General features: G+C 48.7%; 1 protein-coding gene across 5 annotated transcripts in view, besides 1 other annotated feature; it reads right to left on the minus strand.

Moving 5' to 3' along the window:
- CLMN (calmin) overlaps positions 1-21,492 on the minus strand; it is a 137,969-nt gene that overhangs the window by 105,598 nt on the left and 10,879 nt on the right. The window lies entirely within an intron of this gene.
- Positions 15,449-15,950: an enhancer, noted in NCBI's record as "H3K4me1 hESC enhancer chr14:95769323-95769824 (GRCh37/hg19 assembly coordinates)". NCBI's record gives its function as "activates a minimal SCP1, AML or CMV promoter by ChIP-STARR-seq in naive H9 embryonic stem cells {active_cell/tissue: H9 hESC(naive)}" and the evidence as "EXISTENCE:reporter gene assay evidence [ECO:0000049][PMID:30033119]".

The following is a 21,492-nucleotide window of genomic DNA, read 5'->3' on the forward strand; positions in this document are numbered from 1 at the left end:
GAGCACCCATCAGAAGCACCAGGCCCCACATCCAGAGTTCCTGATGCAGTAGGCTGAGGTGGAGCCTGAGAATCTGCAGTTGCAACAAGGTCCTGGGTGATGCTGATGCTGCTGGCCAGGAACCTCACTTTGAGAATGACAGCTTCAATGGTTTAGCATTGGAAGATGTCCATAAAGCTCAGACAACACTGGCTTGCAGGGAGGAGATGCCCTGGGATTCTGGGTCTTTCTTGGGATCCTGCAGCCTCCAGTCCAAGGTCATCAGCCTCTCTCCATACAGCCCTGTTTCTGGAGGGCAGAGAGGCTCCTAGCCAGCTATCTGCATTTCCCTCCCTGTGCTCTCAACCAACCCACCGTAATTACTGGCTATCAAGATTCTCAGTGCACACCAAGGCATCACCTACCAGAGTACAAAGATTTCCTGTTCATTAGTTCATGGTTCATTAGTTCATTAGTCTGTGACTTGGACAGGTTTTATGCCCATTTTGCAGCAGAGAAAACAGAATCATAACAGTCAAGTAACCTGTCTAAGATCTCACAACCACAGCATAGTGGGGCCTGGAAGAGCACATGGGCTTTCTACTTCTAAACCCACGTACAATTTCTATACTGCCACAGTGGTATCCCCCACAGAAGACCTGTATCCTAAGGCAGGGGCCTTATCACAAAGTCCTACTCTTAGAGGACTTACGTGAACAGCTGCAAACCAGAGTTGCAACAGCCATGATGTGGCTGATCCAGAGGACTAAGGTGCCCTGGGAGGGCACCTAATGAGGTTTTGGGATCACAGTAGGCTTTTGAAAGAGATAAGCCTAAGAGAAGCCTTAAAGAGGAGTGAGCCAGTGAGAAGGCAGGGCTGGGGAAGGAACAGTGCGCTAGGCAGAGGGAATAGCAGATGCAAAGGCCGAGAGGTAAGACAGATCAGGCACATCTGAACAATGGAAACTACAGCAGCTGGAGCACAGGGTTCTGCTAGGTGATGAAGCACAAGGCTGAAGAGATTGGCAGATCCTATGCTTAAACACCTCACAAAACACATCAAGAAGTTTCAGCTCACATCAATGCATTGCTGGCTGGCAGGCTGTAAATTGGTGCCACTTTCAAAAACTGTTTGGCAGCATCCACAAAAAATAAAACATGCTGACCCTTTGATTCCACAATTCCACCCCTGTGTATAAGCCAGAAGAAACAAGCGCTTGTGTCCACCAAAAGACATGCCCAAGAGTGTTCTTCACAGCACATTCATAATAGCCAAAAACTGGGATCAATCCACTTGTCCATCAACAGGAGAACAGACATGGTACAGTCGCACAAAGGAATACTACACAGCAATGAAAAAGAATTAACTCACAACTTGCATGGATCTCTGGATCTCGCCAACTATCAAGCAAAAGAAGCCAACACACAAAGAATCCACTGCAGGATCCATTTATGCAAAAGTTCCCAAACAATCAACATTCAGCATGGTGCTGGGAATCACAATAGGGGTTACCGCTGGAGGTAGGTATCACTGGGAGGGGCACAGAGAGAGCTGCTTGTGTTCCAGATGTGGCCTCTGCCTGCATCTGAGTGGCGGTGCCATGGGTGTGTGCACACATCACATACACCTAAGGTTAGGGCACTCTGTACACTTTACTGTTATATGACACTTCATATAAATCCCATTGGTCAGGCTGGGCATGGTGGTTCATACCTGTAATCCCAGCACTTTGAGAGGCCAATACAGGCAGATTGCCTGAGTTCAGGAGTGCAAGACCAGCCTGGGCAACATGGTGAAACTCCATCTCTGCTAAAAAATACAAAAAATTAGCCAGGTGTGGTGGGGCGTGCCTGTAGTCCCAGCTACGTGGGAGGCTGAGGCATGGGAATTGCTTGAACCTGGGAGGCAGAGGTTGCAACCTGGTTGACAGAGCAAGACTCTGTCTCAAAAAATAAATAAATAAATAAATAAATAAATAAATAAATAAATAAACAAACAAACAAACAAAAAAACCGTTGTTCTACATCCTTATCATATGTATACTATACTTCAATTTTTTTAAATGCTAAAAGGAGAAAAGGGTTGATAACAAAGACCTGGGTGTTGGAGGGCGTGGGCATTGAAGGCTTCAAACCAGGGAAAAGAAGCAATCAGGCTCCTCCCACCCCAATCCCCCAGCCCCATTCCTGGGCTGCCCACTTTCTCCACAGCCTAGTCCTCTCGGCTGTTGTCCTCTCTGTTCCCTTTTATGCCCAATCCCCATCCTCTTAGGAGCTGGCCATTCATATTATGACCCCATCAGGCCAAAATCCCCACTGGCTGCCTTAGCCTACTGTGCCAGGTCTCCCATGGTCCTTTTGCTCAGGGGCCAGCTTGTCACCTCCCCCACCAGGGGGTTGGCCTCCTTGTGTGTAATCGCCACCTAAGACAGGTTTAAAGACATGCAAGAATCAAACACAATAGCTGAAGCCTATAACATTTCAAGGCAAAGTGTCCATTCTTTGGGGGATGTCTTTTGGGAATTCTATCTTCAAAATAATATAACCTTTAAAAAAGAAAAGCTCCTTAATCCTCACATGAAAGACAAATTGCCTCCAATCCAAGGCTGTTTCTCGTTGACACCTGCAGAGCCCTTCACAGTGTGCAAAGCCACTCAGGTGCAATGGGTCCTAGTGCTAAACCCTTACCATGATGCCCTGGGTCCGCCCCGCCCACTCTTCTTTCTTGGGTGGTGGTGCTTTGTGACTCTGTCACACTTTGACGCTCCCCCAAAGATGTCCAGATCCCAATCCCTGGAGTCTGTGTGTTGCCTTTATGTGGCAAAAACAGACTTTGCAGATGTGTTAAGGATCTTGAGATGGAGAAGTTTTCCCGTAGTCTCAGGGAGGGCCTTAAATGTAATCACAAGGGTCTTTATAAGAGGAAGACAGAGGGAGATGTGATCCAGAAGACAGAAGAGAAGAGACAGTTGATGGAAACAGAGTCAGAGAGAGTTGAGACGCTGCTGGCTTTGAAGATGGAGGAACAGGCCACAAGCCAACAAATATGAGGGCCCTCTAGAAACTAAAACAGGCAAGGCAACAGATTCTCTCCTGGGGCCTTCAGAAGGAACGCAGTATTACCAGTGCCTTGAATTTAGCCCAGTGAGACTGCCTCAGGTTTCTGACCTCCAGAACTGTGAGATGCCACATCTGCATTGCTTGTAAGTGCTCACTTTGTGTAAGTTTGTTACAGCAGCCCTAGGAAACCCACGGACCTCCTTATGGTGCTTTCAGCTCCCGAGCGTCAGAACAGCTTCTCAGTATTCCTATCCCCACCCTAGTGCTGTGGTATGCAGTAGGTGCTCAATGAATGCTGGTTCTATGAAGGGTGGTAGCCTAGGGATACCGACGCAGAATAACTAATAATACCAAGGACATGGAGCTCCTGTGCTTGCAGCAGAGATGACACAAACACGTGCTTGCCAGGAACGCAGCTGCTGATGCTGCTATGATTATTAATATCCTTCTAGGCACCTGCTGGGCTCCGAGCTGACCACGCTCTTCTGTCAAATTCTTAATTTCTTCCTCTCCCAAAGGGCAAGAACAATTTAAAAAGAAACCACCTTGGAAAAAGCTTTAGCTGGCCAGAGTGGAACCCGGGCTGTGACAGCGTCCCTGGTTACTGATGACAACATTCACCCACCCAGCTGAGCCTGGGCGTGAGCCTTCCTGTCTGCCTGGGGCTTGGCTCGCCATCCAGGAAACCACCTGTTGCAGGCGCCTGTGAAATGGGAGCCAGGCAGCCTAGCCATGGCGATGGCCTGTAAACAGATTTATCCCGCCCACATGGAGCCGCATCCCTGCAGCTCCTGCGTCTCGGGGCTGGCTAATACCTGGGACCGCATGCTGCCTGTGCCAAAAAAACCCAGACACACATCCTCCTGGAAATATCATTGGCCACAGGAGCTGTTTCTCATCCCCAGAGCTCCAGGTTGCAGGTGCGGCTGGGGATTATCACTTCTGCAAATAAACACCAAGCCCAGGTGAAAGCTCCAGGAGAGACGGAGTCAGACTGGCCCCAGCAAACCTCGCTGGGGAATGGGGAGCCCTGTCCTCCTCCTTAAAAGTGAGCTGAGCGTACGTTATTCAGAGCCCCATAGATAAATTCCCATAGCCTGTGACCCAATATTTCCACATCTAGGTATCTGTCCTCTAAGATCACCAGAAATGGGGACAAGAATGAACGTGCAAGGAGGTTCAGCAGGAGGTACCAAAAAGCATGCAAAGCTGGAGAAGCCGTGGATGGCCAACAGCAGTTAAGTCAGCCACAGAAAGAATGCGCATGCAGCCCCAAAAATGCTGGTTACCCAACATTTAAAACATGGGAAAATTCTGAGGTCAGAACACAAAGTGAAAAAAAATAGGATCCAAAATTATATACATGGTGGACTGAAATTGCTAATGGCAATGACAAGCATTTATTGAGAACTGACTGTGTTCCTGGCACTGTGCCAAGGGTTGACGTGTTCCCACGTCCTCATCTGGCCTCACTGCAAGCCCGAGAGGAAGGTCTGACTTTTGGGCCTATTTCACAGATAGGGGGACTGAGGCATGGAGAGAATTCAGCGGCTCACTCCACACAACTACACGTCCTTAACACCCTCTACACCATTTATGTTAAAACTCGACACATTCACAGGGAAAAAGCCCAAAAAGAAAATGCATCAAAAGGTAAATGGTAGTCATTTCTGGGTGGCATCATTTGGAACATTTTGTATTTTTCCATATTTTATACAGTGGACATGTACTACTTTTAAAACCAGAAACTATGCTATTTTTAAAAGTCTCCAGAGATTTCATAAGCTCCCCTAGGATGGTTTAAAATAACAACACAAACAAACACCAGTAATGAGATCTGCCCCCCAAGGGTCCCCCACCCCCACCCCCACCCCCACCTCCACCCCCTGCATCTTGGGTCACAGGCTCCATGGCCCTCCAGGAGGTGTAAGTAAAAGCCTTACTGTCTCCCTTATTGATTTTTGTCCTTCCTCTAAGAAATGTCCTTGAATTTAAATAACTTCAGGTCAAAAGCCTAAGCAAGCTCTGCCCTGCACACTCACGGGGACCGACGGTACCCTCTGACTTCACCTGCTCTGCAGATTCCCAGGCTGGTGGTAGGGGAGGGTGGGGACCATTATGCTTGTGCCCCCACTAAAAACACCAGCTTTCCCACGAGCTAGGATTTGCTGGGAGCTGGAGAGAAATCAGCATAGCCTGATTAAATTAACATGAACCAGCTCAGGGAGGGCGAGATGAAGCTCCAAAAGCGCAGGCCTGTGAGAGCACGGGTGCCCGGTGTGGGTCTGCTCCTCCAGGGACATGGCTAATTGCACCCCAGCACATCCAACCGGCCACAAACATGATCATCCAGGGGTAACCACGGAGCAGGAGAAAGAAGTGGGTAAGTGACACAGAGCAGAATGCAATTTTGCACATAGCCGTCCATGGCCATGAGAACCACTAGGAATGTATTTGGGAGATGGTTAGAAATAAAAAAATTAAAATGACAATAACTATGTCAGGGTAAATGAGATGGAAAATCCCTGCCCTCCCCTCCCTTCCCTCCTTCCCTCCCTCCTTCCCTCCCTTCTTCCCTCCTTCCCTCTCTCCTTCCTTCCCTCCCTCCCTCCTTCTTTCCCCCCCTTCCTTCCCTCCCTCCTTCCTTCTTTTCCTCCCTCCCTCCTTCCTTCCCTCCCTCCTTCCCTCCCTCCCTCCTTCTTTTCCTCCCTCCCTCCTTCCTTCCCTCCCTCCTTCCCTCCCTCCCTCCTTCCTTCCTTCCCTCCCTCCCTCCTTCTTTTCCTCCCTCCCTCCTTCCTTCCCTCCCTCCTTCCTTCCCTCCCTCCTTCCTTCCTTCCTTCTCTCAATACCTCCTTCCTCCCTTCCTCCCTATTTTCAAGTTTTCTCTGACTTGTTTTTAAATCAAATCAAATAACCATACATATCTTGAGGCCTCCCTAGGCAGTCTGTCAGCCTCTGATCTTCACTGTCATTCTCTATGGATTCAAGACCAGGAGAATGGGCTCTGTGCACCTGCTCCCAGCAGGCAGGAACGAGCTGCACAGACCCCAGCACTGGATAAGAAGGGCAGAGACATGTGGGTGTACTGCGCCCCCTGTCTCCCACCCACCCCCGCCCCGCAGCCCTCTCTGGCTTGTGAAATGGAAAAATAAATCTGAGGCAACAACACATCCCCTGGCTGAGCTGTCCTGTGAGGCTGAGAATGGGGTCCAGGCTCCTTCCTTTCCCAAGGGTCTCGGGACCATCACACAAACCTGCAGTCTCTAGAAACCAAGTCTGGTGTTGTTCTACGTGGTACGGAATGAGGCAACATGAAGTAGAAAACAAGGAAAAACTCCCTCCCACTCCCTCCTCAGTCTCTCACTTAGCGTTTTAGCTAAAACTTACCAAACGCCAGCAGGGAAGGTGCCAGCCCCACTGCCTGGCTGGAGGGTGACACCAAAGAGGAGGAGGAGGAGGAGGAGGCCAGAAGTCTGGCTGGAGGGCTTCCCCACTCCCCAGGCGAACCTCTTCCTACCTACCTCACCCTAAACAGCCAGGAGAGTGCGTGCAGTCAGCCTGCCTGCCAAAGAATGGGTGGGGGAGTGGGCTGGATTCACTTATATTTCCAGAAATATTTGCTAAGCACCTACTATGTGCCAGGGACTGGACAGACTACAAAGATGAGGAAAAGGCATGGCCCCTGCTTGCACGGGGAAGACAAAATTTAACCAAGAAAACAGAACAGCAGAATTACAGTTAAGATCGCTGCAATGAAGCAGGAAAAAGCTGGGTTTCAGGACACAATCTCTTAGGGCACCTCTGGAAGGAGAAGGGCTGGGGGCAGAACGTGTGCTTGTCTGGCATGCACGGGGCAGGCCTTGCACCCAGTCTGGGCCAAGAGGCATCCGCGGGGAAGGATCCTGTCCAACAGAAAGGCCCTGGAGACAGACCTGCATCCACATTCCGGCTCCCCCTCCCTCACCTGTCCCTTCCGAGTCACATGATCTTGGGAAGTTACCTCCTGGTCTCTACCTTGTAGAAAAGGGCACTTATTTTCAGGTGTGATGGTGAGGATTAGGATAAATCCCTGTGCTAGTCTCCTTTGCACACCCCTCCTCCTACTTCATCTTCCTTTCTCTCCCTGCCCTGTGTCCTGGGGGCAGGTCCTCCACAGGTTGTGTCACTGGGCACCTGGTCTTCTGGCTACTCACTGGGTTTGGCCAATGGGAGGCGCTGGCAGGACAACGTGGGGTGGAGGGGCCACATCACTTATTCCTCTGCTGCCTCCTACTCTTGCTCCCGCTCCTTAGCTGTGGTTTTGGCCAGGGCTGCATTCTTCCACCTGGGCCCCCAGCTCCAGCCAGAGTGCCCCTCACCAGGCGATAGCTTTGTGGGGCTCCTATAATTCAGCCCCCTCTTCTTGCCCATCAGGCCTGGCAATGGTAACAGCTCCCTGCTGCTGGGAGCCACTGGGTGCTGCACCAGCCCTTGCTGGTGGCCTTTTCCTGCCCCATCTCTGTAAACAGCCTCTGCATCAAACCCTCTGGACTCACTCCTTGGAGTTTCCTACTGGGCTCCTGCCTCATACGACCCTATAATAAGCTCGATGCAATTTTAGTCATGATTACAGGGTGGAGGCCACTGCTCCTGGGGAAAATGTGTTCAGGCTGCAATGCACACAAGCTGGTTAGTTCAGTCTAATCGAAGAGGGTAGCCACTGGAAAGGGTAAGCAGGAGACTTCAGAGCCATTGGTTGTGAAGGCAGAGCTATCCTTCACTCAACAAGCACTGTGCTTCCTGCATGCCAGGCATTGTGCCAGCTGGTAAGAACAGAGAGGTGAGTAAGACGCAGGCTCTCCCTGGGGGGATAGCCCAGCAGAGGCAGTAGATATACTGTATGAACAGGTGGCTGCTGCACAGGGGATACGTACGGTAAGAGCTGAGAATGGCAAGAAGAAACTCTGTCAGTCTGCCCGGGGGTGGTGTCAGGAGAGGACTCAGAAGAAGGGACACTGGACTAGCCCTCTTTGAATGCACAGTTTTCTGGGCTAAAAGAGCACTTAGAGCAAAAGGGAAAACATACACAAAAACAAAGGGGTGGGAGAGGCCCGTTGGGACAAAGGTCAGTGTTCTCATGTTGACCAAAGGACCAGGCCACTTAAAGTGACAGGTGGCCAATGACAGATGAATGACCCACAAACAAGTCAAGTTCGGTCCTACCTCAGGACCTTTGCACTTGCTGTTTTCTCTGTCCAAAGTAATGTGCACCCAACTGTTTGCATGGCGTCATCTACTCTTCATTGTTCATCTCCTCAGAGAGGCTCCCCCGATCACAAGTAGCTTCCTTGGTTTCCCTTGTTGTAACAAATTGCCACAAATGTGGTTGCTGAAAACAACCCAAACTTATCTTATAGGTTGGGAGGTCAGAGCCCAAAAGAGTCTCACTGGGCGAAAATCAAGGCACTATTCCCTCTGGAGGTTCCAGGGGGAAAATGCGTTGTCTTAGTCTGTTTTATGCTGTTATAACAGAATGCCACAGACTGGGTAATTTATGCTGGACAGAATTTTGGCTCACATTTCTAGAGGCTGGGCAGTCCAAGAACACAGCACTGGAATCTGCTGGTGCATCATCCCATAGTGGAAGGCAAAAGGGCAAGAGACCACACAAGACAGAGAGGAAGGGGGCTGGACTTATCATTTTATCAGAGACCACCTCCTGTGATAACTAACCCACTCCCTCAATAATGACACTAATCCATTCACCAGGGCAGAGCCCTTACAACATAATTATAAAGACTGATCAAAAGCCCTGCTGTAAAAACACAACAAAACTGGAAGTTGTAGTACAGACTGTTGGTTGCCTTCCCCACCCCAAATAACCATTCTCTCTTTCCTCCACAGAATCAGAACCTCTTGTTCTTAGGTGGGCACCATGGGCTTTATTTCCCAGTTTCCTGTGCAATTAATCACAACCCAGTGACTAAGTGCTGACCAATAAGATGTCAGCAGAAATGCTATCAGGCAGTTTCTTGAAACTTCCATTAACAGAGAGCTAGCATCCGCCCTTTGATCCTTCTTCATCATCCTTCCTTCTGTCACGCTGCCTGAAATGTTAATGTAACGGCTGGAGCTCTAGCAGCCATCTTGGGTCTTCAGGTCAAGAGCTACATGGTGGGATGGCAGTGCAATGAGCTAAGAGGAACCTGAGAACCTGCAGATAATCTGATGCACAGCGGGCCACACCAGCTTGAACAGGAATGTGTTTTGCTTTACAACAATGTTGTTTCAGGTTTCCTGTAATTCATAGCCAAACCTAATCGAGACTGATCCAAAGTCACCCCTAGGTTTGTCTGACTCCAGGGCTGTGCACTTGAATTTCATCTTCCCATCAGACGGGATAAGAGAACACCTTCTGTTGGAGGTGGAGGAAGCAAACGAATGCCAGCTAGTGTGTTCCCAGGAAGGGTTCTGGGCTCGGTGCTTGCCAGGGGTGGGAGCGAAAGGGCAGCCATTGGACTCCTATCTGTGGCTTTCCCTGCAGATATCACTTTACTAGGCTTGAAAGAAGCCTGTAAAGTCTCATTTACAAAGTAAGCCTATGCCTGGGGCTCAGTGGAGTTCCTGTGGTTTTTAGGAGGAAGGGATTTCAAAAATCACTTAGAAGGCGCTTATGCACATCACTGGTCACAGAACCAAAATGGCCACTTTTGTGCAGTCCTGCTTAAACAGACATACCAGTGTCATTAAAAAACTGTGATAAGGAGATTCCCAGCTCGCTAGTGGTCTCTCTTTAAAATCAGATTTATTGAAGTCTAATTTACATACATTTCAGCCTTTCCTGTGTACAGTTCTGTGAGTTCTGGCAAACAAATAAAGCCATATAACCACCACCATACGGAAGAGATAGAATATTCCATCACTCCCAAAATTCCTTTGTGTCCTATTGTACTCAATCCTCTTCCCCGACTCCCAGCCCCTGACAACCACACATCCATTTTTTGTCCTGATAATTTTGCCTTCTCCAAGCTGTCATATACATGGAATCATGCAGTCTGTAGAGCATTTAGAATCTAGCTTCTTCCACGTAGTAGAAGGGTTTTGAGATTCGTCTGTGCTGTGTGCATTAGCAGTTCTTCCCTTCTTCCTCCTGAGCAGTATTCCACTGCATGGATGTGCCACAATCTGTTGATCCCTTTGCCAGTACAGGGACGTTTGGACTGTGCCCAGTTTTTGGCTATTATGAATATGGCAGGCACACACACACACACACACACACACACACACACACACACAGAGTGCATGCATATGTATGCTCACCCACGCATATAGTTTTGTGTGTGGATATGCTTCCATTTCCCTTGGCAAATACCTTAGAGGAAATCTGAGGCTGTATGGTAGAGTATGTCTCACTTGACAAGAAACTGCTAGCCACACTTTCCGGAGCAGCTGTACCACTTTGCATTTCCCCCAGCAGCACACGAGAGCTCCAGATGCTCCAGGGCCTTGCCCGCACTGGGATGGGCCTGCTCTAAAGTCACAGAATTCTCGACTCTCCCAGCTCCCATGGCGTCATCGATCAACCCCACCCCACCCGGCTGCCACCATGGCACCCAATTCTAGCTGGGCTCCTGCCTGCAGTCCTCTCCCTTCCCTTCCCCTTCCCCCCCAATAGATTTTATACCCCAGTGAATCACAAAACACAAAGAAGAGCCTGTTCTCTCCCTTGTCCTGACTCAGATCTGCCAGAAGGTGAGTGGTGGGTTCTGCTCAGCTTCTCCAGGGTAGCCTGCCGCTGCATCAGAAGGGCATCCTCTTTAGCCAGAAGCTTCTCTCTTGTCTTGCCTGCACCCTGGAGACCAAACTGGTGCAAGGAACCAGAAACTGTTCAAGGCGCCACACGGCCACTAATCCAGCACCCCAAAGTGGAGAGGGTCAGTCATACAAAGAGATAGTAACCTCAGTCGCAGGAATGTGACCCCTCACTTGCCAGCAACTGCCCCACCAAACACACAATTTTTGTAATGAAGAAAGATGCTTTCCACCAGGCTAAGTTAATCTTGGGTCAGAACGTTGGCCCAAGTATAAACCAGGAGACCTGTAACAGGAGTACATTCATGTCTTTGCAAAAAGAGGTACATCTATACCTGCAAAGGAAGACAGCAGGAGAGACAGAAGTGACCGTGAAATGGAGACAGGTGCACATAAATAAGCATATTTAACCTAACATCCAGGGTACCATCTACCATTCCTATATTACAGAGGAAGAAAGGGAGTTTAGAGATGCGCCATAACCTGCTCAGGTCACAGGCCAGGTTGTCCGATCCAGGTTCTCCCGACTCTAAGGCATCTTTGCAAGCAATATTTTACAAGCGTCTGTGTTACCACCAGGTTCCAGTTACTTTGGTACCCCACAGAAAGCCACTTCCAGTACTTCCAGCACTCATTCATTTATTTATATGTTTATTCATTCATATGTTTATTCATTTACACATTTATTGAGTGCCCTCTATGTGTCTGACATTAGGGAAGCCTCAGTGATTGAACCAGACAAAAATCCTGCCCTGTTAGCACATGGTCTAATGGGAATGAGAGCCAGCGGGTAGAGAAAAGGGACTCGGGCTGCCCAGGGTCCTTGCTGTGCTCCCCCCAACCCCACCACCACTGCCGCAGGCCCTTTCCCTAACAAAAAGGCTCATCCAAGTCAGGAGAGAGCAGATGCAAAAACCCAGGATCCAGAGGACCATTCTGGGCTCTTCAGTGCCCAGGCCCCACTGGGTCCATGACTGAATGGGAGACACTGTGAAGGAGCAAGAACACTGTCCAAGAGCCAGGTCTCTCCTCCAGCCCCACGGGACACGCACCAGGGCTTCCGGCATTCATTCATTCATGCCACTGTTTGCTAAGTGCCTATGCTGCACCAGGTGCAGCACCAGGTGCTGGAGACACAGGAGGATGAGAGCAGGGCTGCTGTCCACAAGGACTCACAATGCAGTGGGGAGACAGCAACCTGTCCACGCCCACTAGGAAGTAGAAGGTAAATGATGGGATGCAAACAGGGCTTCTGAGGTTGGAAGAGACCCTGCTACAAAGAGGCAGAGCCAAGATTCGAGTCCAGGCTGTGGGCTCTAAGCTGTGTGATCATCACCCTATGCCACCACCTCCCACTTGGATTTTTTCTGCATTTAAATCCAGTGTCGCAGACCTGACCTGTGCTGGCCCTCTCCCTTCCCTGCCCAACCTTTGGTTACCTTTCCTCCTCATTTTCATTCTCGCCTTCCATTAGAACTAGCTCAATAGTTCTTTCATTTTTCTGTGTTAAGTGCCAAGTGACAGGAGTTTGGGGGGACCCAGAAACCTATACCCTGAAAGAAACAGAATGGCAGTCAAGCATAAATGTTGACCAAGGGCAATAAAATGTTTGACCTCATCATTGTTTTTCTAGGAACCTATCCTGCGGAAATTTCACCCCAACATAGAGACGCCTCTACAGAGCGAGACGCTCAATCAGGAAGCTCTGATTGGAAAGCAGCCTCCCGTCTCCCACTATGGAGGTGGCCCAGATGCTCAGTGGGGCACGGTGTGGCCACTCCATGGGCACCACTGGGTTAGCTCTGGGCCAGGCTCCCAGAGGTGGCTGAGACCACATCCTGCCCCCAAAGGGCTCACACCCAGTGCGGGAGTCACCACAGTGTGACAATGAAGTGGCACCCCAAAGCACATAGATGAGTAAAACAAAAGTCACCCCAACTCTGTGGGCTGGTGTCAGAGCCAACCTGTGGAGCCTCTTTGGAGCTGAGCCTGTTTTAAAAGAAGCAAATCACAGACCTTTTGGACTCTCTGATAACGCCCCAGTCCATTGCTTCACTGAATGGAAGAAATCCAGAACCTGCCTCCAACAGCAAAGATGTGACCATCTTCACCTGGCAGGGCACAGGGCTCTGTGTATTCGGTACTCCAGATCAAAGGAGACCTCTAATGGAAACTTTGTTAGCTCAGGGCAATAGAGCATGTCCATGAGCCACGCTGCTGCCTACATCGGCTTCTGGGTGAGTTGTTCCCTCTGCAAGGAACGTTCCTCCCCCTCCCATCTGGCTAACTCCCATTTATTCTTCTCATTTCCACTTAAAAACACTACCTTCTCTGAACAGCCTTCCATAAAACATAATGCAGGGTCCCCTTGTTAGATACTCTCCCTGTAGTCTGCCATCACAGCCATCATTATATCCCGATGAGACCGGGGGGACTGACTCCCTGCCATGGAGCAGAGACTAGGTCTGTTCTCCTCACTTCTGTATCCCCAGTGCCTGGGAAAGAGCCTGGAACCGAGCAGACGCTCAATAAATATTTGTAGGAAGCTGCTGTTGCATGAAGTTAACTCAGGAATCAGAAGGGCTCTGGTTGGTTTGACTTGAAAATAGGCAATATTTTAGAAAATAGAAATAAAAGTTGCAGATTCTGCACCTGATGCACTAAGTAATTTTCCATGAAGTAACTTTCCAAAAGGGTCATGCACTATTGTGTCACTTTGTTGGATTCTTCCCACAACTGGAGAGTATCGGGTTATAATGGACACAATTCACAGAACAGCTATTACATCAACTATTGATTTTCCAAGGGCCCCAAAGCTGAAGCTGCACATCAAAGAGTCTTTTGAGTGAAGGCACATGTAGTTCCCATAATTCTTGTGTGTCCGAGAGTGGGGACAGCTCTTTGGAGAAACACAGCTCCCCCTTCATTTGCCTATTACCCTACCAGCTCTCAAATGGGCAGTACCACTCCCAGGTGGAAATGCGGGGGGAATTTTTGACTGCCACATGACTGGCATTTTGTGGACTCACTCAAGGATGTTAAAACCTCCTGCCGTGTGTGGAACATCCCACTCATAGAGGACCATCCTGCTCCAAAAGCCAGGAGTGGCCACCCCACACTCACACATTGAGGGATGCTGGCCTCCAGCCAGCCTAGGCCATGTCCACAGGGTGAAATGGCTGCAAGGGAAAATGAATCCAAAAGGTCACTTCATTATTAATGAGGACCCCCTACTCCCTCATCCCCAGGTCTGCTGCCCACCCAGGATGGACCGGTCACCTTCCTGAACAACCAGCACATTCCTGCCCTTGCATGCTGGCTCATACCAACCTACTAGGTCACCTGGAGGCCATCCCCACCAAGCCCCACCTACTTGAGCCTCCACCCAACGCAAAGTCCTTCTATAGGAAACTTTCCTGGATCACTCAACCCCAATAATCTCTCCCATCTCCAAAAAATTCCAGACCTCCAACCAGACAATTCACTTAGTACGTGTCAACTACTGCTGTGTACTCTCCACAACATGGTCCCTGAGTGCAGACACCAAGTCTGACATGCCCCAGCATCACCCCAACAGACTGACTAAGTGACCGATTCATTCACCTCATTCAGTTGGGCCACCACAACACTGAGCTATGGTCGTGCCATGAACTCCAGCCTGGACAACAGGGCAAGACCCCATCTCGAAAAAAGAAAGGAAGCAGGTGGATCACTTGAGTTAGGAGTTTGAGACCAGCCTGGCCAACACAGTGAAACCCCATTTCTACTAAAAATACAAAAAAATTAGTGGGGCATGGTGGTGTGCACCTGTAATCCCAGCTACTCAGGAGGCTGAGGCAGGAGAATCGCTTGAACCCGGGAGGCAGAGGTTGCAGTGAGCCAAGATCGCGCCACTACACTCCAGCCTGGGCAACAGAGTGAGACTTTGTCTCAAAAATTAAAAAAATTAAAACAAAAAAAGAGGAAGGAAGGAAAGAAGGAAGGAGGGAAGGAGGGAGGAAGGAAAAGGTTAGCCTAGACCTAGTCCTGATGAACTGAAATATAACATGAGCCACACACAAAATGTTACATTTTCCAGTAGCCCTGTTATATATAAAGTCAAAAGAAACAGGGGAAATTGATTTTAACAATATATATATTTTTAATCTACTATATCCAAAGTATTATCATTTCAACATTTAGGTAATATTTTAAAACGATTAATGGTATTAATGAGATTGACCACCAAAGCAAACACATTCCTCTTTTACTTTAAATAAAGGAAAAAAACAAAAGTTGATTCATAAAAACCCTTTACTAGTATTGGGCATTTTTAACACTCATGACTTCACTGAGTCTCCCAAACAACCCTGGGAGGGCTTGACTATTTGTTCAAGTGACATTACAGATAGAAGAGACCAACACACCACAAGGACCCATAATTTGGCTAAAGCGCTGCAGCTGCAAAGTGAAGAAGCTAAAATTCAAATCTGGGCCTGGCTTCAAACACCTCCTCTTTTCACCACAGGCCAGGCAGCCTGTCCTTTCTCTGGCTTTGTTCTTATTGATCAACTATGTTTACTAGATAAGGGCTGCAGGATAAGCAGGCATCATTTCAGCGGTGCTGGAGGGTCAGGTAGTGATTTGTTCTTTACTGGAGTCTCCAAAGAGTGTTTCCACAGTGCTCCTAGTTCCAGGTAATCCAAACCATGCAAAAATGTAGAAGATCAAGTAAAGTCAGTATCTGATAGAGGCTCAAGCAGGATAACTTTTAATCCTGCCATGAAGAAAAGCTTAACTTTAAAAACTTGGCACCAGCCAGTTCTCCCCTCAGGGAGCCTGTGGCTTTGGGCTTGAGGAGGTTTTATAAAAGCAAGCAGGACTCCAACACCAAACAATGCATGTTCTACCAAATAACTCATTCCCTCAGCGGTGTGGCTTTTCTCTCCCAAGGGGCCAAAGCACCCTATGTGCAGCAGAGGCTGCAGCTTTAAAACAGCAGTAATCACAACAAGTGCACGATGGTGAGCGGGGTGTCAAATTAACCCCACGCCCACCCCTGCCACGCCAAGCTCAGAAGAGCTTTCAGTCCACTGATGGGCAATTAGGGGCCGGGGAGGACCTTGGCGGGGAGTTCATTAGAGAACGTCCTCTGCCTCTGCAGCTGCACCCCATATGGGCCCCCAACCCTCACGCCTTGGGACCTCAACCACGGATGAACCAAAGTGTGCGGCTGAGAAAATAGCCATTAGGTGTGACCAATGCCTCCTCTGCAATGCCCCCGATTTCTCCTGGTAACCAGTATTCAGCAGCAGCCTGGGAAATGGTCAAAATGGAATGAACATAGCCAGCAGGCATCTGCAGACTTGGAATCTCCAAAGCTAGGATGATGGCAGCACCCATTTACCAGCCTCCCATCTGGCTGTTTGCCAGCCTCCCATCTGGCTGTTCTGAGATGCCTGGAAAGGAAGGGAGAGATTTCTCAGAGATGAGGACGGACCCAACTGGGCTTCTAATTTTAGTCCATCTCCCAACTTTATTGAAACCTAGAGGAAAGGGATTTTGTTTTATGTATGCATTACATATTTAGATAATAAACCCTCAACGATGGCAAGAACAGAAGAAGGGGAGACAGCAATACAATTCTAGGTGGTAGCAAGAAGGACCAGTGGTCACGGATTTGGCAAACTCAAAGAAATCTACATCTTCAGCCAGACGTGGTGGCTCACACCTGTAATCCCAGCACATTGGGGGTCCAAGGTGAGAAGATCACTTGAGCCCAGGAGTTTGATGCCAACCTGGGCAACATAGTGAGACTTTGTCTCTACAAAAAAATAAACAAAATTAGGCATGGTGGTGCATGCCTGTGGTCCCAGCTACTTGGGAGACTGAGGCAGGAGGTTTGATTGAGCCTAGGAGTTCAAGGCTGCAGTTTGCCATGATGGTGCCACTGCATTCCAGCCTGCAGCCTGGGCGACAGAGAGAAATTCTGTCTTAAAAGAAAAAAAAAAAAGGAATCTGCATCCTCAGTGACAGCAAGGAAGGATGAAAACCAAGCCAATTTACAACCCAGAAGTCCCAAAGGGTCGGGAATTAGTGGTGGCAGGTATCTCTGGAAATGGGGTTAAAGTGCAGGGATGCACTAAGAGGATGAGAGGAAAGAACCAGCCGGATCCGTGCATCCCCTCCCCCACATCTCCCAGCTGGGTGACTGTCCCTCCCCCATCAGGCACAGAACTGGAAGTTTATTCTCTGAAGAGGTTAAAAATACTGAGAAGATCTCAATGCAAATTGTACTGTACAATCTATATAGTACAATTGTACTGATTGTACAGATTGTTGTACAATCTGTACAACAGCCAGATTAAGTGATTTTATACATACTACATGCAGAGGACCAATGCCTCCCAAGCCCACTTCCTTCTGCAGCTCCGAAACCCCCCACTCCTCACCCCCAGCAGCCTGGTCTGACCCTCCAGACAGGAGACTGTAAGACCCTTCCATGGGGAGCCCAAGCAGCCTGGGAGGAAAGACCTAAAGATACTGGCATGGGGGTCCCCATGAAACAGTCCAGTAGGGACCTATGGGAGAAGCTTCCAGTCAGGAAGGACACCCATGTACTCGGAACCTGCAGAATGCTTATTAGTCCCCAACTTTTAAAGAGGGGAAAGCAACCAAGGACTATAAGGCAGCTAAGAAAGAAGGCCTCTAACACGAAAGCTTCAGATCAAGCGAAGCCAAGAGAAAGGGTGCACAGGTCCATCACACCCAGTGTGCGCCAGGCCCTCTCTAAGCCCTTCACCTCCAGTAACTCATGCAATTAGTGCAGCTCCCAAAGCAGACATCAGTATTATTCTTCCCATTGTACCGATGAGGCCTTTGAAAAAGAGAGAGGTTAAATAACTTGTCCAAAATCATAAAGCTAGTAAGCGGCAGAGCCAGGATTCCCAACTAGCCATTTGGCTCCACGCCATTGAGCACTGTGTGAGCCACCACTCAAAGCTCCGCCCCAACCCTGTCCATCATGACCATCCTCAGCACGTATGAGAAGATGATGCAGTCGTGAACAAGAGGCTTCTTTGAAGAATAAGAGAGAGTTCTCGCAAATTAAAAATGTGATAGGTTAAAATATGGAATGTAAAATTGATGGAATCTCAAAGAAAGCAGAACAAAGAGCAAAAGGGATCAAAAAATAGAAAAGGTAAGAGAATTGGAGGATCAGCCCATGAGGAATGATATCCAAGTAAAAGGAGTTCTAGAAGGTCAGAAAACCAAGGAACAGAAATCATAATGGATTGTCCTAGAAAATTTCCCAGAACTGAAGTATAGTTTCCAGAAAGGTCTCATTAAGGGCACAGCATAATGGATGAAAAGAGACCAGCACCAACGCAGGTCACCTTGAAGTCTCAGGCTGCTGGGGACAAACCAAGGCTCCTGTGAGCATCCAGACAGCATGAAGCAGGATGCAAACAGAGGATTAGAGATGACTTCACCCTTCTCTGTAGCTACCCTAGAAGCAGGCAGACAGTGGAGCAAGGAACACTTCAATACGCTGAAGGAAAATCATTTCCAACCTGGAATTTGATGCCCAGGTAATGTAGCAATCAAGAATTAGAGTATAAGTTCATTTTCCCATGTGCAAATTCTCAGTAAATCTACCACCCAGGCACTCTCTCTCAGGAAGGATGTGCTCCTGTATGCAACGAGTGAAGCCATCAGAGGAAGGCAGGAAGCAGGAGATCTGACCCAGGAGAGAAGCGAGGGGGACCACAGGTGACAGTGACAGGCAGTCCAGGTGACAGCTGGGCCCCAGGTGTGGAGGACAGCACAAGTTCAGACTGAAGAAAGTCAGAGGCCCCAGACTTGCTCAAGAAGAGAGAACTAGCCAGGCATGGTGGCTCATGCCTGTAATCTCAGCACTTTGGGAAGCTGAGGTGGGCAGATTACTTAAAGTCAGGAGTTCGAGACCAGCCTGGCCTACACGGTGAAACCCCATCTCTCTGAAAACACAAAAAAATTAGCTGGGCATGGTGGTGCACGTCTGTAATCCCAGCTACTCGGGAAGCGGCGGCTGAGGCAGGAGAATTGCTTGAACCCAAAAGGCAGAGGTTGCAGTGAGCCGAGATCATACCACTGCACAGAGACAGTGACCACACCTGGGTGACAGAGCTAGACTCCATCTCAAACAAAAAAAAAAGAAGAGATAAGAGAGACACTTTACCTGATGCACCCAAACAACTTAAGGAGGTATCTAGAATAGTAAGAGAGTTTCAGATGAATTAATAAGCGCATACCCCACGACCAACAGCAACAGCAGACGATATTTAATTCCAAAGAAAACAAAAAGCAGATCAGGTAAGGAAAAGTGACCATCATTTACTACACAGCTAAGCTCTGAAGAGCACTGACCTACTAGTGACACTGTAAACCCCAGTTACGGATCTTATCAAAATTATGATGAAAACATATGGGGAAGTTGAGAGGAGGCAGATTTGAGGTTAAAGGAGGTAAAGAGGGGTCCTACATCCTCACCTTCTACAGTAAGAAACCAGAGCTTAGAACCAAAAAATCAAGATGAAACAATACATGCATGTTATTTAGAGACATGGAAGAAAATACTAAAATCATCAGCTTAAAAAACAATGCAAGCCATATCCTCCAGGGAAAGGGGCTGGGGTCTCACTGTTTTCCATACAAACCTTAAAGAAAAGGCAAGGGAATGGGGAAACAGGCATTGATGAAGACATATGACCTCACTGAATGTTCTAGCAACCAGGAGAAGTTGGGGTTATCATCCCTTTCCACCAAAAAGACATGGTCGGGCTCACAGCTACCCACAGCCAGTCAATACTAAAAACAGGCTCAAATCCAACTCTGCCAAACCCAGCATCCACACTCTCCCTTTGATTCCACATTCATGCATTCAACAATATAAACTGAGCACTCTCTAAGCCTGGGTCACAGGGGTGGCCAGGGCAGACTCCAGCACCTGACCCAGTAGGACTTCTGGTCTACCTGGGCAAACCCACAGTAAACAAGCCATCATTAACAACAAATCCAAGTGTAGCAGTGCCTACCCTACACAGCCTCAACCTAGGACTGCAGCACTTATCTGATTCCTGCTGTTCCTCTTCCTTTCCTCACCCACTCCACAATCCCTCACTGACCTCATGGCATTGCGATGTCTCTGTCCCCTACGGGTCAGCAATCACGTGCCACTTCATGGCCCTTGCCCAAGGTACTCCTGGGAACTCAATACAGGCCATTGCCCGGGGCAACCTCCTGCTTTCGGCACCCAAGGCCCTTGGCTTTGAATCGGGAGGTAACACGTTTGGTTTGTTTTAGATCAGAGTTAAACTCACAGGCCAGGCCAGCTCTCTCTTGGAGAGAGCCAGCTCTCCAAGAGAGAGCTCCACGCTTGTGTACATGAAAGAAGAGGAAGCAGCCTTTGTAGACCGGCCTCCAGAAAGGCCTGGTGAGTCTAGGGGGCTGCAGCAAATTCCTGGAGATATCACAGTGTGCTGTGAAACCTCACATCTGCTGCTCACTCGCTGAGAACAGGGCAAAGCCACGGAGCCCCTCTGACCTCGGAGTCTGCATCTGTGAAGTAGGGGCCCCAGAGGTTTACGTCAGCCTTAAATGACATAATGGGGATGGCTCCGCTTTATCATCTGCCATCACCATAACACAACACAGGGACAAGAGGGTGGTTCCCATGGCTGCCTCTGCTCACTTCTGCCATCATTCAAGGTTATGAGAATTTCATCTCCTCAATTTCTTCAGATCCCCACTCTTTTGAGATCCACCCCGGGGAATCACCAGGCAGAAATCTTCAGTCAAGAAGTCAGCCTTTACTTTGTTAGTTCAAGGAAAACCTGGTGTGTAAATGACTCTAAACAGAACCAGCTGGGCCACTGAACAGACTGTGATAAGGCTCAGCAGCAAAGCTGGCTGACATCTTGCCCAACATCCTTTAGCTGGGATCCAGTTTTCTTTCTGGGTTCCAAGTAAGTCAATTGTCCTCTCTAGCACCACCTGGTCCTTGATCTAGTGCTGGTCAAGTCTCTCCCCATGTCCCCACATTCAAATCTCATCTTACTACCCAGCCCCTGACTGACTTCATCTTCCCAGGCTTACCTCTGATTCCTGGTTCTACCACTCATTAGCTCAATGGCTTGGAACCTGTGACAATCTCACTCAGCCTTAGTTCTCAGGGCTGATAATAATGCCCACCATCAGGGTTCTTCCAAAGACATGGCACAGGGTCCTGCACTGTGGTCACCTCTCCCCAGCCTACCAACCCCCTCCCCGCACACACTCCCCATGATCGCATCAGTGCCCTATAACCAATAAAGGCAGTCCCTGACTTGATTTTTATATAGCATGTACTGTATATTATACATATTGTAACAGCAACAATACCGCAGATTGTCTTCTGTAACTCAGGTTGCAACTCCCCCAGTGTAGCCTGACAAGGAAGAAGCCGTGCGCACGCATGGGGGACCTTTTTCAGCTGCATGGCCATATATTTGGAATATTACTGGAATGTCTGATTGCATTTCATCCTTGTTTTATAAAAATAAGTAGAAACAGAAGAAAAAAAATGGGAAGTGTGGTTATCCATGATCATTACTGGTTTCGTAAACCTACCACGAGACAACAATGGAACGGGGGCCATGAAGA

Source organism: Homo sapiens, chromosome 14, assembly GCF_000001405.40.
Source record: "Homo sapiens chromosome 14, GRCh38.p14 Primary Assembly".
Taxonomy (NCBI): Eukaryota; Metazoa; Chordata; class Mammalia; order Primates; family Hominidae; genus Homo; species Homo sapiens.